We start from the raw sequence: 18,006 nt of genomic DNA on the forward strand, positions 1-18,006 counted from the left end.
ATAAAATACTGGCATTTGATTTCAGTTGCTATATTTAAGTTTCAATTCATACTTGGTTGGCATCAAACAGCACCAAGAGAATCAGCATCATTGTAGTGAGAATCAGCATAGACTCTGGCATTTGGCTACCTGGGAACAAGTTCTATTCTGCTACTTATTGGCTGTGTGACTTTGGACAGTTAAATTAATCTCTCTGTGTCTCAATTCCTTAATTTTCAAAATTGAGGTAATATTTGTCATGGCCAATAACTGAGATGGTTTTAATATGAGAACAAGCACTTGCATCAATTCAAAAGGCAGCAGTTGTCACAACATGCGATATGAATGAAAGTTCATTGTATAGCACTATACATGTGCTGTTGTAAGGCACACATGATAGAGAACTCCAATGAGTAGGTATGAATGGCACTAAATCCAGTGAACGTCCTTGGAAGTCTGTAAAGGAACCCATCTCCTGCAGGGTATCAAAAGCTGAGGATTAGGTCTAGGACTTCATTATAGGTAGCAGAGCTCCCTTGAAGGTTGAATTCTCAGCATATTCTTTTTCCCAAGTCTGCTACATCGAGGTCAGGGAACTAACTGGGAAGGAGTAGGACCCAGAAAAACAGAATAGGAAAATCTGAGTTCAAGAACTCAAAAAACTTTGCAGAGAATGATGGTTTCCAGCTTCATCCATGTCCCTACAAAGGACATGAACTCATCATTTTTTATGGCTGCATAGTATTCCACGGTGTAAATGTGCCACATTTTCTTAATCCAGTCTATCATTGTTGAACATTTTGGTTGGTTCCAAGTCTTTGCTATTGTGAACAGTGCCGCAATAAACATACGTGTGCATGTGTCTTTATAGAAGCATGATTTATAATCTTTTGGGTATATACACAATGAGAACACATGGACACAGGAAAGGGAATGTCACACACCGGGGACTGTTGTGGGGTGGGGGGAGGGGGGAGGGATAGCATTAGGAGATACACCTAATGCTAAATGATGAGTTAATGGGTACAGCACACAACATGGCACATGTATACATATGTAACAAACCTGCACATTGTGCACATGTACCCTAAAACTTAAAGTATAATAAAAATAAATAAATACATAAAAAAAAGCTTTGCATTGCTTGATTCATCTGAAATCTACAGATTTCAGAAGTGGCTCTTTCTTTCCAGTTAACAGCTAGCACTCCCCTTCTCCTTGAGATTATTTAGAACCTCTGCCTTATAAGGGAACATGTCACCCTTCCAGATTTACCCCTCTTATCCCCTCCTGGCCACCAGTTCAATAACAAAGGTGAAGGTCCAACATAACCCAGCCATGAAAGGGCTGGCACTGCTGAGGGAAGAAGGGACTACATTCCAATAGAGCTAAGGACTGGTCCCCAAAGATGCTGGATCAAACAGGGTGAAACCTAAGGTAAGATAAGGGCTAGTTTATGGATAATGAAGCACTTTGGCATGACAGAGAATGTACCACCCTACAGAGGACTCTAGTAGACAGTGGTAATAAAACTCCAGTTGGCTCTGGAAAGTTGGGAAGAAGTGATGGTTTACTGTAAATGAAATTTAAATTTCTAGAATTTCAATGGCAAATGGCGAAGGATGGAAGGGATCCAAAGGCTCAGAGAAGTGAGCACGCTAGAGTAGATATGCCACCCGAAGCCAAAGTCCATCAGTTAACTCTGTTCTATGAGAAGCTGGAGGACAAAAGTGAGAAGGAATGAGCTAGTGAAAGGGATACCAGCATCCAAAAGAAGTCCTGTGGAAGCTGTCCTCTATAGACTAAGGCTGGTAAGAAAAGATGCAAATGGTAGAAGATGCTACACAGAACTGGGCTCCAGGAGAGCAACTGAGATGACAGGATCCTACCATAACAGACCAGATGATGGCCACTAACTGTCAAAAGCAGGGTAGGCTCAATTATCAGAACTAGTGACAAGACTAGTTACAGCCAGGGGCACCTTAACCGCAAAAAACTTTGGAGATGGTTACTAGGACACAAAGTTCCAGGAGACAAGATAAATGGATTGCAACAGAAATATTGCTTCATTTATAGGATTAAAATAAATCAGTTAATAAATTCATGACCTTTTGCCCCATTTCTGGCCATAAGCCAGTTCTCAGAAGTATAAACAATGGTATATATTTCAGTATAAACTGAAAGAGAGGATGAGTTCTCAGGAGGAAGGACTCTGTCCACTCATTTATATAACTGATGATTCCCTAGTCCTTCCCTAAAGAGATCCACAAGTGTTTACTGAGGTGACCATGGGAACCTCTGGGGTAACCACTGGGCAAAGGAGGACATCCATACATTGCATGGAGATGAACCATCACTGCTGAATAAGAACCTGAGTTGATATTAAGACCCAGGGACCTGAAGCATCATTGTGGCCCACTGTCAAAGTGGGGGTAGATGGGGTAGGGAGAGTAATAAACGGAGTCCGTGACCTAGTCTGGCTCACAGTGAGCCCACTCAGTCCATGAACTATCTGGTGCTTGACTATATGGTTAGAATGAACATACTCAATAGTTGGCAGAATTTCCACACTGGTTCCTTGGCCTGTGGGATAAAAGCTACTATAGTGAGGAAGGCCAGGTAGAAGCATCTGAAACTGTCACTCCTCTCTCTCCTCCTCATTAAGAAGATAATTTAAAGATAACATGGAATCCAGGAGAGAAAGAGATCAGAGTCACTCTTAAAGAGTGACTCCCTCACATCCTCATTTAATGCTTTACTCTGGTCAGCAACAAAAATCAGAAAGATGTGAGAGAATGACGAAGTACTACAAACTCAACCAAGTAGTAGCCCCAGTTGTAGTTACTCTGCCAAATGTGGTATCTGCTAGAGAATATTAATACAGCTTCGTGGCAAAGGAGGCTAGGGTACATCCTAGACTCCCCAGCAGTGGCCCGTAGTAGCCAATGCGAGGTGCGATGCACACTGCTTCTCAGCCTTCCATGTGCATGCCTTCATTTCTCCTTTTTTTTTTTTTTTTAACTGTGTGAAATAGACATGAACCCTGGCTAACTCTGGAAACTATGTTGATAATAATAGAGCCTAAAACACTTTAGGTGCCTAAATGGCTGTGGGGACAAAAGTATCCCACTGAGCTGTTCAACAGCATAGAGTTGTCATGTAAACACAAGATATTCTTCTTTGGAATTTGAACGAGCAAAAAGGGAGGCATTAAAAATATGCAAACAGAGAATAGGGGATTACAACAAAGGGTTAACAGGAAAGAGTTGAAAGCTAGTGTAAGAGTCACAACCACTGACTGATGAAAAACTTTGCTTTCATTCCATGCATTTGACTTGTAACCATGCAGGTAATGGTTTCATGTTGCCATGAAGTATTAATATATTTAGTAGCTTTGTTCTCTCCAATATTATTAGTTTATTCTAAAAAGAGGAGTACATTTTTCCTTTTTTTTTTTGAGATGGAGTCTGGCTCTGTCCCCCAGGGTGGAGTACAGTGGCACGATCTCAGCTCCCTGCAACCTCCATGTCCCGGGTTCAAGTGATTCTCCTGCCTCAGCCTCTAGAGTAGCTGGGATTACAGGCGCCCACCACCACACTTGGCTAATTTTTGTATTTTTCATAGAGATGGCGGTTTCACCATGTTGGCCAGGCTGGTCTTGAACTCCTGGCCAGGCTGGTCTCGAACTCCTGACCTTAGGTGATCCGCCCGCCTTGGCCTCCAAAAGTGTTAGGATTACAGGCATGAGCCTCCGCGTCTGGCCTTTTTTTCCCAAAGTTAATGTCATATTCTATAAAAGGGAATGTTTGGTATGGAACTGTAAAAGTTTGAATACAAGTAAATAAGGATTTAGAAAGATATTCAAGGATTAGGAATACAGAAAACAGAACATGATTAGTCTCAATCCTTAGAGTAGCTCAAAATATAACTGAGAAATTAAGAAATAAGTAAGTAAAGACAGAGACTATGTGTCAGTGTTAGAAACAAGAAGAACCCTGAAATAATGGGCCTCCGTTAGTACAAGAGTGTTGCGACAACAAGCTCAGAGCTAGCCATTACTTCTTGATAAACAAACTTACAAACCTGTTACCATAAATTATAAATTAATCTATACTGGTCAGGCGCAGTGGCTCACGCCTGTAATCCCAGAATTTTGGGAGGCCAAGGCAGGCGGATCACTTGAGGTCAGGAGTTCAAGACCAGCCTGGCCAACATGGTGAGCCCCGTCTCTACTAAAAGTACAAAAATTAGCTAGGCATGGTGGGGAGCATCTGTAATCCCAGTTACTCGGCAGGCTGAGGCAGGAGAATTGCTTGAACTGGGGAGGGGGAGGTTGCAGTGAGCCGAGATGGCACCACTGCACTCCAGCCTGAAAAACAAAAGTGAAACTACATCTCAAAAAATAAATAAATAAAACAAACAATAAATTAACAAATTAATTAACCTATACTAATCCTGTACTCTGTCATTAAAAACAAACAAAAAAAAAACTTTTGTTAAATCTTACTGAGAAGGTCAAAAGATTTTTCCATAACATAAAATGGTTGGCTTAAATTTCCAAGAAGTATTTATTTGTAAGTTTTAGGCCAGAATATGGTTGGGTTTGTTTTGGTGTAGAAATCTTTTTTGTCACCTAACACCATAACTGTTTCTCATTGAAAATCAACTTTACTCAATATAAGTTAACTTACTGTGACATCACTGACCTAATTTTAAATAATTCAAAATTTTGAAAATGACTGACACTTTCCTCCAAGTAAGAAACACAGGTAAAGGTATATTTCCTCTGTATTAGTCCATTTTCATGCTGCTGATGAAGACATACCCAAGACTGGGGAAAAAAAGAGGTTTAATTGGACTTACAGTTCCACATGGCTGGGGAGGCCTCAGAATCATGGTAGGAGGCAAAAGGCACTTCTTACATGGCAGTGGCAAGAGAAAATGAGGAAGAAGCAAAAGTGGAAACCCGTGAGAAACTCATCAGATCTCGTGAGATTTATTCATTATCACGAGAATAGCACTAGAAAGACCGGTCCCCATGATTCAATTACCCCTCATGTGGGAATTCTGGGAGACACAATTCAAGTTGAGGTTTGGGTGGGGACACAGCTCATCTTCCTTTTAAAATACACTTTCAAGTAAAATAATTAACAGATAACTTCACATCTCAATGCAGAATCTCAAAACAGTCAAATTCTAACTTTGATACTAAAAAGTTACCTTCATTGAGAAATACAGTCCTGCTCCTTTACACATTGCTAGAGACACTGAAATAGTCATTTACAGACTTGTTGAATTTTATTTTTTATATTTTAATCAAAATGTCTTATTTGGTAGTTCTACCCCCCAGAGTGAAATAGACTGAAACTCATCAACAAATTCATTGAGAGAAAGAGATAATTAAATATGTCATCCACTGCTCTTCAATTATTTTTGCCAAATTTTGTGAAGTTACCCTCTGAATACGGAGATTTTAGCAGTCCAGGTACGATCATTCCTCTGCCGCTTTATATAACCCATATTCTTACAATGTGCAGGTTAAAACAAGGCCAATGGCCTCATTGCTGAATTAAGATTTTCATATTGTACATGCCTGAAAGGAAAATGTGACCTGAAATGGGCAGAATAATTCTAGGATTCCCTGGTTATAAACATACCTTGAAAGGCATTTGCCATCCAGCCACATCTTGTCTCTAACTATTAATGTAACCTTGGGTAGAGAACTAGACTTCGTGGTGCCTCTGACTTCAAGTATTTTAGCCACATCAGCAAAATCAACCCTCATGTGGAGGAGGATAAAAAGGGGAGTAGACAGAAGACTCTCATCTTCAAGCATTCCCATCCCACTGGGAGGAATATCCCCAGCATGAGAATGAGCACATCAATTTTCCTAAAATCTGATACTATCATACATCGGTTTCCTCTCACTCCTATCACGCTAATTCCTTCTTGACCATCAGCCCTCTGATTATAATTTGACTTCTAATATGGTATGTTTTTGGGAGGGGAAGCAGTGAAAAAACATAAGATAATATGGACCTCACATTTTCTTGATACTGTTATTTTCTTATAAATTACCAAAGTATTAATGAGAGATCAAGCTGCACACTATTTCAATTACTATCATAGATATATTTCTTGTTATGATGAGTGAAATTAGTTTTATAGTCTTCCATTTTTAAACAGGTATGCTGTATGAGGAAGGAGGCTTTGTTTTTCACCTTTAATTATTCTCTAATTTTGCCAGACAAGCCAATAGAAAAAAAACAAAAAGCAGAAGATGGGTCAAAACTTGTATGCATTGCTTTTACATGAAACACATTACTACAAATTCACCTCTGTCCATATTACCCAGGTTCAGCCTTGGTCCCCATCCTAAGACCAGTCTATACAGGATTGTTAGGTCACTTTCCGAAAATCTCAAGGCTGTTGTGAAAACATAGACCAAATAAATGGGTATAGTGCCTAGTGTAGGAGAAAGAATAACCAATAATACCAAATTGCTGTTTGTCTTAAAAGCACCGTAATTTGAATGCTTTTACATCCTAGCATCTCCATAAATGACATACATTCACAGTACAGAGTTTGGGCATACTGTCCAAGTAGAAATTAAAATGTGAACCCTTACATTCTGACTCTAAGTTGGACATCACAGTGGATATAAGAAGTTATCGGAAAAATATAATTTTGTGGTCATTTTACATTCTCAATGAATTTTAAATACTACTTAAAAATTAGCTGTTCAATTTTTTATAACCTTTGGACACTGGTGGAACAGGAGCTAGGTTTGCACATGCATCCAATAGAGATAAATTAGGATTCATTTTGAAGGAGTTGTCTTATCCAACTTTCTTTTTGTTAAGAAAAAAAATCTGACATTACAAAGTATAAAAGGAAAGTTTTAAAAACCAGGCAGTTTTTCCCCTATTAAATAGTTTCTACTTATATTCGTCTTCTGAAAGTTACAGGATGATGCCTTATTAGCTTTGAGTATTAATAAATGACCTCATTCAATTTAAGCAAGTTATAAAAAAAAGTATTCTGAAGGGAAAGAGTGCTGCTACTTCCTCAAACGAGGAAAGTTAGTATCCAAACGTTATCATAAATAATGTACTTTTGCAAGTAAAAGAATGATATGTATGACATATATATATATAATATATATACACTTTTAAGATAAGTAGCCACACATTTTACTACTACTTCCTCAAATGAGGAAAGTTAGTATCTAAATGTTATCATAAATAATGTACTTTTGCAAGTAAAAGAATGATATGTATGATATATATATATATATACACTTTTAAGATAAGTAGCCACACATTTTAACTCATCACTTTTCAGATACTAATGAACAAAAACATATAGGTTCTCAGTCCCTTCTCCCCTAGCCTAAACTTCTACAGTTTCTGCTGCATAAGAAGTCTGCATGGTATGGCAAAGGGCAGTGTCATAAGAGCACAAAATTAAGGTAAATAGAATGCTTAATGACCTCATAGAAATCTAGTTCTCTTGACCCATTTGAATTGTACTCTTCACTTGCCCTCCACGATTAAATGTGTTAATGCTTATGCATCGTGCTCAATAGTTCATTTGGTACTTCTTACTGAATAGGAAACTTTTAGACTAATCCAGTTTTAAAATAAAGGAAGGTGTAAAAGCTAACAACATTATAAAGTTAGGAGTGATGTATAAAAAATGTGAAAGAATTAGGGCAAAATAGAATATAAAGCTCCTGTACCTATGAGCACTCAGCGTTTCAGCACTGCTAAGATGAGTTGCTAAAATTGAGATGTGTCAAGATTTACCATTTCAGAGCTTGAGTCTAGGTTATGACAAATCTTCTAAGCACTTAAAAGTTAAATGAGTACGGAGTGGATAATGAGATTTTTTCTTTCTCTAAAATGTAAACCTGATGAATGATGCCTGAAAGCACCACCAGTCATTTTTATGAGTCCTCAGCAAAGCAATACAAGGCATTTTTGTTTTGTTGTTGTTTTTTTCTTTCTCTGTACCTAAAAGGAAGATTTTCTTTATTTTAGCTTTTCTAGGATGGTCACATCCCCTTTTGGAGACAATGTTACCTCTACAAACTTAAATAGCTAAGACAATATACTTTCTTCCTACATAATAAAAATCAAACTATAAATATAGTTTAGGATATAAATTGTAAATATGTATTAATAATTTTATATCCTAATTAGGATTTTAGGATTATTTACAACAACCAAAAGTACATACATGTGATAATGAATTGGTTACAATTTATAAAAAGTCAAATTGCAGATATACAATTGTGTATAATATGAATAATTTTTTATATGAAAACGGAAAGTAAATCCTGTAAAAAAGAAATATAGTGTGAGAGGAATCTAAAATTAATTATCTTTGTGAACCTTAAAAAAAAGTATATTACTATTAATGTTTGATTCAAATATTTTTTCTGTTGTTTTCAAGCCCAGTTGTCAAAGATCAACTTCTAACATCAAAGACCTGACAAGAATTGTATGAAAGTGTCCTATTTCTATTGAAAAAAACCTCATCAATTAAAGTATTATTTTTATTAACAATAATTCTGAAGTATTTTTTACCATGTAAAAAAGGATACGCACCTACAGGTCTATAAACATTTTCTTCTCAAGGAAGATGGTCTTGAAAATATAATATTCAATGCTTGATAACTTAATCCCATGAACATATTATAAATTTGCATCAAAAATATCTATTTCCATATTCAATTTAAATATGAGAGTCACCTTGAACTGTTTCTTAGAATCTAAATGTAAAATGGAGAAATATCACCATTTACAAAGGGAACAGTAAAATGTTCTATGAAATATATCCAGAGAACCCTTGAAACAAGCTAAGGGGGCCAGAGGGGAAGAGGACACATAGGGTTGGAATTGCACATTTCTTTGGGAACCGTGACTATATATTGATTAAATATTTGGGATAAAAAATATGATAAAAATTATATATGTAGCAAAATAAAAAAATCCACTATGATGCAATTCAAAGTGCCTTCTGCAATTTCTTTTCTTTTTCTTTTCCTTTTTTTTTTTTTTGTTTTTTGAGATGGAGTCTCACTCTGTTGCCCAGACTAGAGTACAGTGGCGCGATTTCGGCTCACTGCAACCTCTGCCTCCTGGGTTCAAGCAATTCTCCTGCCTCAGCCTCCTGAGTAGCTAGGAATACAGGTGCATGCCACCATGCCCAGCTAATTTTTGTATTTATTGTAGAGATGGGGTTTCACCATGTTGGCCAGGCTGGTCTCAAACTCCTGACCTCAGTTGATCTGCCCCCCTCGGCCTCCCAAAGTGCTGGTATTACAGGCATGAGCCACTGCTCCCAGCTCCAATTTATTAAGTAGAAATTTTGTCAATAGCTTTAAACAACAAAGTCCAGTTTAAAAAAAAGAAGAAAACCTTCAAGAAACAAAAAAACAATTTTAAAGGTTGATACTAACAAAACCTCATCTTTATGCCAGATTCACATGTCTGACTACTTGCTTAAGAATTCTACCTGAAGGTTCAATGCATCTCTAACCTAATACAGCCAAACAGAAACTCCTGTTCCCCACTCTAGCCTACCCTATTTCTCTCTCATTTTTCAGAATATTTGTAAATCGTACCGTCATCCAACAAGCCAAAGATTAAACTGATAAATCTGTTCAACAAAGGGCATCATGAACAAAGCTAACAGACCGATGATGGTGTTAGAAAAGGTATTCTGTAATGTTAAAAACTGACATGATATTCATATTTAAAATATACAAGGAACAACTACAAATCAGTTTAAAAAATACATCATCTACATATAAATATGGGTAAAATCTAGTACCCACAGGAAGAGGTGTTCAGACTCATTAGTAATTATAGAAATTTAAATAAATACAGTGAGTTACCACATGATTCCTATATACTTATATCCAGAAATTTTGATAATATGAAATGTTGGTGGGGAAATGGGGCTAATTCTAAAACACAAATTAAAAAAAAAAAAAACCATGTTGCTGGCCTGCTAAGACCATTCCAGATAGCAATCTGACACTAGTCAAATAAAACAAGGACATGTCTTATGTTCTAACAATTTCCTTCCTAGGTATATATCCCAAAGAAATACACAGGTCCTTAAGGGCATATATGTGAGTCTGTTTATTACATTATTTGTGGTAGTAGAGCTGAGTTGGGTTGGGACACTAAGATTTTGAAGCAATGTGCTATCCATCAGAGAGTGGATGGGCAAATGTACTAGTTGTCCATCACATAGTGCTATTAAAAGGAAAAGAATCAATGCAGACATAACAACATAGATAGATCTTAAAAATATAATGCTAAGTAAAAAAAGATCGTCAGAAAAGACATGAAGACATGAATGAAGCTTAAATTTACATCACTAAACAAAACAAGCTATTCTAAAAAGACTACATACTGTATTATTTCAATTATATAACATTCTGGATAAAGAAAAACTATAAGAAGACTAAAACGATCAGTCTCCCTGGTGTATGGGAAAAGTGGGGAGCAATGAATATGCAAAGCTCGAGGGATTTTTAGGGTCTTGAAACTATACTTCATGGTATTTGGTGGCTACATGATATTATAGGATTCTTATTTATCAAAACCTATAGGGCTTTACACAACACAGAGTGAACGTTATTGTATTCAAATTTTAAAAAATCATTTAGAAAGTTGGAGGATCTCCGCAAAGAATGTAGACTGTGACAAGAAAATCTAATTGTATTACAAATATATGGAACAACCTCATTGTATGGGGTAAGAAAGGTACTGACCTAACTTTGGAAATGAATAGAATCCGTAAAAGTAAAGGCAAAAGGACCTGCACATAACTACTGCACTCGAGCTAATAAAGTTGTTTCCTACAGGGGTACACGTTAACAATTCTTATATCTGCCTACAAGTTCTTCATCTCCATCTGAGACCACCGCAGCCTGGATTTCATGGTCCATATCATTATCAGCATTTTGGTCAACGCCATCCAATAAGTCTCTAGGGAGCTCCAAACTTTCCCACATTTTCCTGTCTTCTCCTGAGCCCTCCAAACTGTTCCAACCTCTGCCTATTACCCAGTTCTAAAGTTGCTTCCACATTTTCAGGTATCTTTACAGCAGCGCCCCACTCCTGGGACCAATTTATCATGTTAGTCCATTCTCATGCTGCTATAAAGAACCGTCCGAGACTGGGTAATTTATAAAGGAAACAGGTTTAGTTGACTCACAGTTCCACATGGCCAGTTAGGCCTCAGAAAACTTACAATCATGGTGGAAGTGGAAGCAAACATCCTTCACATGGTGGCAAGAAGGAGAAGTGCCACGCAAAGGAGAAAAAGCCACTTATAAAACTATCAGATCTTGTAAAAACTCACTCACTATTAGGAGAACAGCATTAACTGCCCCCATGATTCAATTATATCCACCTGGTCCCACCCTCGAGACATGGGATTATTTCAATTCAAGGTGAGATTGAATGGTGGGGACACAGAGCCAAACCATATCACCACCTATATCAGAACTTCCCCCACAGACATTTTTTAACTGTTCTGATTACAGCTTTAGAATTAATTACACAGATACAGAGGAAACAGAAATTATTAAGTGACATAGTGCCATAAAATCAGTTCAGATTTTGGAAAACTCCATAGAACAAATGACAATGTTTTTTCAAAAAAAAAGTTAAAGGAGAAAAAGAAGAATAAGACAAAGAAGGAGAAGAAGAAAAAATGGAGACAGAGAGACTTATAGATTAAAACGGATTTTAAAGAAATAGCCAATTGCAACGTGTGGATGTTGTTTGGATCCCTATTCAAATAACAAACTATGGAGAAAACATAATAAACTATGTTTTCAAACTATGGAGAAAACATAACAAACAATGGAGAAAACATAAACACTACATTTTACCATATTAAGTAATGATTTTTAACTTTATTTAGGTGTAATAATGGCACTGTAGTTACGGTTTTTAAATTATACTTTAAGTTATAGGATACATGTGCAGGTTTGCTACATAGGTATACATGTGCCATGGTGGTTTGGGGCACCCATCAACCCGTCATCTACATTAGGTATTTCTCCTAATGCTCTCCCACTCCTAGCGCCCCACCCCCTGACAAGCCCCAGTGTGTGATGTTCCCCTCTCTGTGTCCATGTGTTCTCATTGTTCAACTCCCACTTAGGAGTGAGAACATGCGGTGTTTTGTTTTCTGTTCTTGTGTTAGTTTGCTGAGAATGATGGTTTCCAGCGTCATCCACGTCCTTGCAAAGGACATGAACTCATCCTTTTTTATGGCTGCATAGTATTCCATGGTGTATATGTGCCACATTTTCTTGATCCAGTCTGTCATTGATGAGCATTTGGGTTGTTTCCAAGTCTTTGCTATTGTGAACAGTGCCGCAATAAACATACATGTGCATGTGTCTTTATAGTAGAATGGTTTGGTATGTATAAAAATATCTTTAAAAAGTCATAAAAACAAAATATATTTTGCAAATCACATACAAACAAAAAGATAAAATGATATATTACGATGGTTTCCTATGTAATGTAAAGGAAATCTAGAGAACGACAGAAAAAATAATCAGCAAATCCAAACCAAACAATGAAACAAAGTGATCAGTGATGATAACGTGCCATGAAATAAGGAGCATGATTAATGCAACTATTTCCACTAGAAGCCCAAAGTAAAGAAACCAAACAAAAGCAAAACACAATAGTAATTTTATATGCATGGCCCTAAACATTTTAATTTTCATGAAATTAATGTGAATCATTTCAGTCTTACAAATGAAGACACTGAGACTGACAGAGTTCCTCAGGATTGGCAGTCAGTATACCACCACAGTCAAGCCTCAAACTTCCCACTCAGAGTCAGAAGCCCCAGAACACCTAAACTTGTATGAAGTAATTTAAAATTTCCAGCCCTAACAAACCACCGGATTGTGACGCCATGTTGCTTCTTCATACACTCGCTTATGAAATATCTATGCTCTAATTAAATATGATATACAGTCTCCTAGTTCCATTTCAGTTATGAATGCTTCCCTTTCTTTGTGTCTAGTTCCTTTCTAGAAGAGCCCTGTTGCAATAAACTTGTTTTTCACTTCTATACTTATTTTTTAAGAGTTTTTAACATGAACAGATGCTGAATTTTGTTAAATGCTTTTTCTACATCTATTGAGATGTTCATGTAGCTTCTTTTTTGGGGTATAAATGCACATTTCCAAGTAAAAAGCATTGTAGATAAAAGGAACAGAGAATGAAATTTTGAGCATCGATTTATTAATGTTGCACATCAAATTTTATGCTAAGTTCTAGTTAGAGTTGGTTTCATAAATTGTTTTAAATGAAGTGTATGTTAAGGATAATTTTTTAAAAATTATACACTATTTAGCTTTAGAAATAAAATTCTTTAAGACAACCTGGATGACATGCAGCATTAAGTGTTGCTGCTAATAATCTTAAAGCCACATTTAACCTATTCAAAGTTCTGTCATGAATGTAGCCACAATGAACTAGTGCTTTCAAGGGCAGCAATCTGTACATCTAAGATGTAAGTTCAATGAACACAACGTAAGATCTGCATACTGAGTTGTATCTATGGCCAATTGGTCTAGGCTCTTGTCATTAGAAACTGCTTCAATTTGTTTTTCTCAGGGAGAGGATAATGTAGCAATTAAGGGCATGAAACAGTGCCTGTGTGACCAGAATGCTGGGTATATGCCATCTCTGTACCTTGCTAGCTGTAAATAATACCTTGTGCTTATGTTTTTTCACCTGAGATATTGGAAAAATAAGAATAGCTACTTTACAGAATTGTTGTGAGCTTGTTATACAAGTTAACAAAAAACAAAAACAAACAAGTTAATATACATAATCACTCAGCATGGCGCTGGACACATGGTGAGACTCTGTCAGCATTAGCCATGATCACTATTTTCATTATGAATGAAGAGCCTGGCTGCTCCCCACGTTTGATAATTGTTATTGATAACTAAATGTGAAGCTCCTATCTATGAATATCACTAAACCCTCTCCATGCTAACTTATAGGACAATGAGGTACGTAAGAATTTGTCTGAAATAGCTGGTTCCCAAGGGGAAGTCCATGGATAGACAGGCTCAGGGCTTCTATAAACTCCTCAGATAATATTTAAAATTTTAAGTGCGTTTATAAAGGTACATTTTTATGGAGAGAAGGTTGACAGTTTTTATCACATTCTCAAATGGGTTTATGACCCAGAAAAGTTAAGAATCTCTTTAAACTCTAAAAGATAAAATCCAAACTCTTTCCCTGGCACAGGAGCTGATATCTAATTGCTTCTCTGCCCACCTTTTTAGCCTTATCTACCACCATCTCCTTTTCTCTCCGAGACACAACAGGTTTTCACCAGTTCTCCCAAATAAACTGTGCAGTGTCTTAACTGCACACATTTTGCTCATCTTGTCCCCTCTAGTGGTCTCCTGATCCCTTCCCTCTTGGTAACACTGATTCTTCTGCCTATTTTGAGGCAGGCTCAGGAACGCCCTCCTCCAGGAATCCTTCCTACGCCAGTCTGTGGCATGGCATGTGCTGCTTCTCTGGGCTCCCATAATATTCTCTACATACTTGCAATGCTGTTTTTTTAAAAAATCTCATTCTATAGCGTTGTTATATTTAGTGAAGAGACGGTTAGCTCTTTGAGAATAAATTATCCACCTTCAATCCAGCAAAGTGCCTGATACAAATAAGTCCTTAATAATATTTTGATCGAATGAATACATTTTAAAAATTGTTCAATGCCTTTTATTTTCATATGGCTTTCTCTGCTCCTGGAAATACTATATAGTATGAAATAAGCTCAGAAAAAAATGTTAAGCTTTCAATTACTATTACCAAAATTTCAAAGAGTGCCCACTTCTTAATAGGCTAGCATCACTCAGGAGAAAATCAATCCTCCTCCACTGTCCCTTGAGCAACATTGTTGTATGTTAAACTTGCCTGATAAAATGAGACCAATGTTCTATACTCTGTGCCTTTTACCTTGAGGACTCCTACTAGGGATAAAATTGGCTTACTGTCATAAGACAATTGGAAAGGCCAATGTCTCCACAATGAATCAATTTTGGGGGTCCTCTGTCATCATGCCTTTTTCCACAGAGGAAGCAATCCCGTTCCTCATCAACACTATCTCAGCTAAAACAGAATATTCTTCCTTCTTGATAAGAAAACTGATTACATCTATTCCTTTCTTTCTATTTAGAAATTTATCTACATGCAATAGCAGGTGGCAGGTAACTGGGTGCAGTGGCTCACACTTGTAATCCCAGTGCGTTGAGAAATCAAGGTGGGAGGATTGCTTGAGGCCAGGAGTTCAAGACCAGCCTGGACAATCTAGCAAGGCCCTACTTGTAAACAAAATTTTTTTTTAATTAGCCGGGTGTGATGGTACATGCCTATGGTCCCAGCTAATTGGGAGACTGAGGCAGGAGGATCGCTTGAACCCGGGAGGCGGAGGTTGCAGTGAGCCAAGATCGCGCCACTGCACTCCAGCCTGGCAACAGAGTGAGACTCCATCTCAAAAAAAAAAAAAGTCTGTATGTATGATAATTTTCATAATTAAAAAATTGATTGGGGAGAAAAAAGCCATATAGATTTTTTCAATGCTGATATGGATATGTCCCCACTCAAATCTCATCTTGAATTTTAGCTTCCATAATTCCCATGTATTGTGAGAGGGACCCAGTGGGAGGTAAACAAATCATGGGGGCAGGTTTTTCCCATGCTGTTCTTGTGATACTGATTAAATCTCACAAGATCTGATGGTTTTATAAAGGGCAGTTCCTCTGCACACTCTCTCTTCCCTGCCACCATGTCAGATGTGCTTTTGCTCCTCTTTCACCTTCTGCCATGATTGTGAGGCCTCCCCAGCCAGGCGGAACTGTGAGTCCATTAAACCTCTTTTTCTTTATAAATTACCCAGTCTTGGGTACGTCTTTATTAGCAGTGTGAGAACAGACTAATACAAATGCTTACTCCTAGGTGAACCTCATAGTGCGCAGAAGATATGTAAAACTGGTTATTTTTTTCTTAATCCTTTTGGAGCCTTCCATATGTATCCAATAACATTTAGAGAGTAACTGTGGATTCTTATAAAGAAAAGGTATAGAAGCAGCATTCAGAAAATTCCTAGATTGTTGATGGATTTGCCATGGATTCACTATGTTGTCCTATGCATAATTTCTTCATCTCAGAAGTAGGAAAAATGTACCTAGCCTGCTTACTTAAAAGGGCTGCTGGGAGAAGCAAATGAGATGATGATGAAGGTAGTTCATAAATTGTAAAAGTGTTAAGTGGACCAAAGTGTTCAGTATATAAGTAAAAATGTTATTGTTTTTTAATCTTCCATCCTTTTGGATACAGAGGATATTTCATAAATCATGCACGGCGGTCAAGAGATTTAGTATATTAATATTCAGTATATCTTCAATGTTTAGACTATCAGATCTACTTAATATTTTATAAGCAGTTTCTCAGTCTGATTCAGAAAACAATATGAAATTGGGAATACCTCTCCTCTTCTATGTTTATTCAAACTAAGTTTCTCTTTCTGTGTGTGTCTATCACCTTAGGTTATATCCTGCTAACCTGCTTTCAGACTCTGAAACTTTTTAAAAAAAAATTCCACTGGTATACTATTCTGTATATATGTAAGTCAAGTATCATAATTCAGATAATAACAAAGTTATGAAGAATTAATTAGAGCTTTTAAAAGACAAACACACTAGTTTTCAAAAAAAAAAAAAAAAAACAACAACAACAAAAAAAACCAAATCCTTCTCAATAGACCTAAGATCTAGAATCCTTACTTTCCTTTTTCTTAGTAAAACTGTGTGGTGCGTGTGTGTACTTATATATTACATGTGTTCTATGTATATGTGTGTATTGTGGGGGAGGGAGACATCTTACACAATTCCTTGAAAGAGCTTTAAAATATCTAGGGTAAATGTATGGTCTGAATAAATACCCTCCAGCCCCACCTGTCCCAGCTTAACTTTCTTTGTAAAATTTTCCACTTTTCTTCACTTTTAGTTTTGATTACTTTCAGAACAAGTAAGATGAAAATTCTCCCACATTTGGAGGAAAAAACCTTAATTGGCCGAGAACTAGAACAACCCAGCTGGAGCTGTATGGAGCTCTTTATATAGAAACTTTCACTTATGCCAATCTTCTTCCCAGAGGCTCATTTCATTTCCCTGCTGGTAACACTCAAATCACTTCACAGTTCATTGATAACTGCATTGGCAACCTTTTGTTTTCAATCAAAGGAAGATGCTGCAGCAATGCTCAATTGAACTAAGTATACATGACACAGTGTACCAGTGTCCTTGCCACAGAGGACTGTGGGAGGGGGGATAAAGGAAAAGATGACATCCTGCATCCAATATTCCATTACTTTACCTAGAATTGGATTATGATAAATTATGGTGACAGAGCTCAGACAAATGCTGATGCCATCTTTTCTATTGTTGCACCTGCACACAACACTCTTATGGATTGCATCAAGTCTCCAAATTGATTCTCTGTCACTCATGGTTGAAAATGAAAGGCCAATGTACAAATAAGTTTTTAAACAATTTCCATGAAGATTGAATTTGATATTTCCTCCCTTACTGCTTTGAAATCACTGAGGGTCACAATAGGTTTTTGCTGATGAACACCTTTCTATAAATCTTCCTTGGTGAAAGACTTCTCTAAGGTCAAGGAACCTCTATGCTGTGTGGGTGAGAGGCAGGTATCAGGGTAGTGTTTCACTCCTTTCCCCTTGAAACATCATCATACCTAGGTTGCTTTAAAGCCCACCACCACCACCACCACCACCACCACCATTATCTGCATGTATTTGATGTATTTGTCCAGCAGTAACATGCTACCAACCACCAAAAGAAACAATTACTGTCCCAAGTAAGCACCCAAAATACAAGGAAAAGGCAAGTGTCAAATGCGAAATAAGTGGATCAAGTTATAGCCT

The 18,006-nt window shown here is 37.1% G+C and overlaps 1 protein-coding gene across 44 annotated transcripts in view, besides 1 other annotated feature; it reads right to left on the reverse strand.

The window, feature by feature from the left end:
• Positions 1–18,006, reverse strand: part of TPK1 (thiamin pyrophosphokinase 1) — a 384,497-nt gene that overhangs the window by 110,744 nt on the left and 255,747 nt on the right. The gene's annotated exons all lie outside the window — the stretch shown is intronic.
• Positions 2,886–3,447: an enhancer, noted in NCBI's record as "NANOG hESC enhancer chr7:144262663-144263224 (GRCh37/hg19 assembly coordinates)". NCBI's record gives its function as "activates a minimal SCP1, AML or CMV promoter by ChIP-STARR-seq in primed H9 embryonic stem cells {active_cell/tissue: H9 hESC(primed)}" and the evidence as "EXISTENCE:reporter gene assay evidence [ECO:0000049][PMID:30033119]".

This window comes from Homo sapiens, chromosome 7 (genome assembly GCF_000001405.40).
Source record: "Homo sapiens chromosome 7, GRCh38.p14 Primary Assembly".
Lineage (NCBI taxonomy): Eukaryota > Metazoa > Chordata > Mammalia > Primates > Hominidae > Homo > Homo sapiens.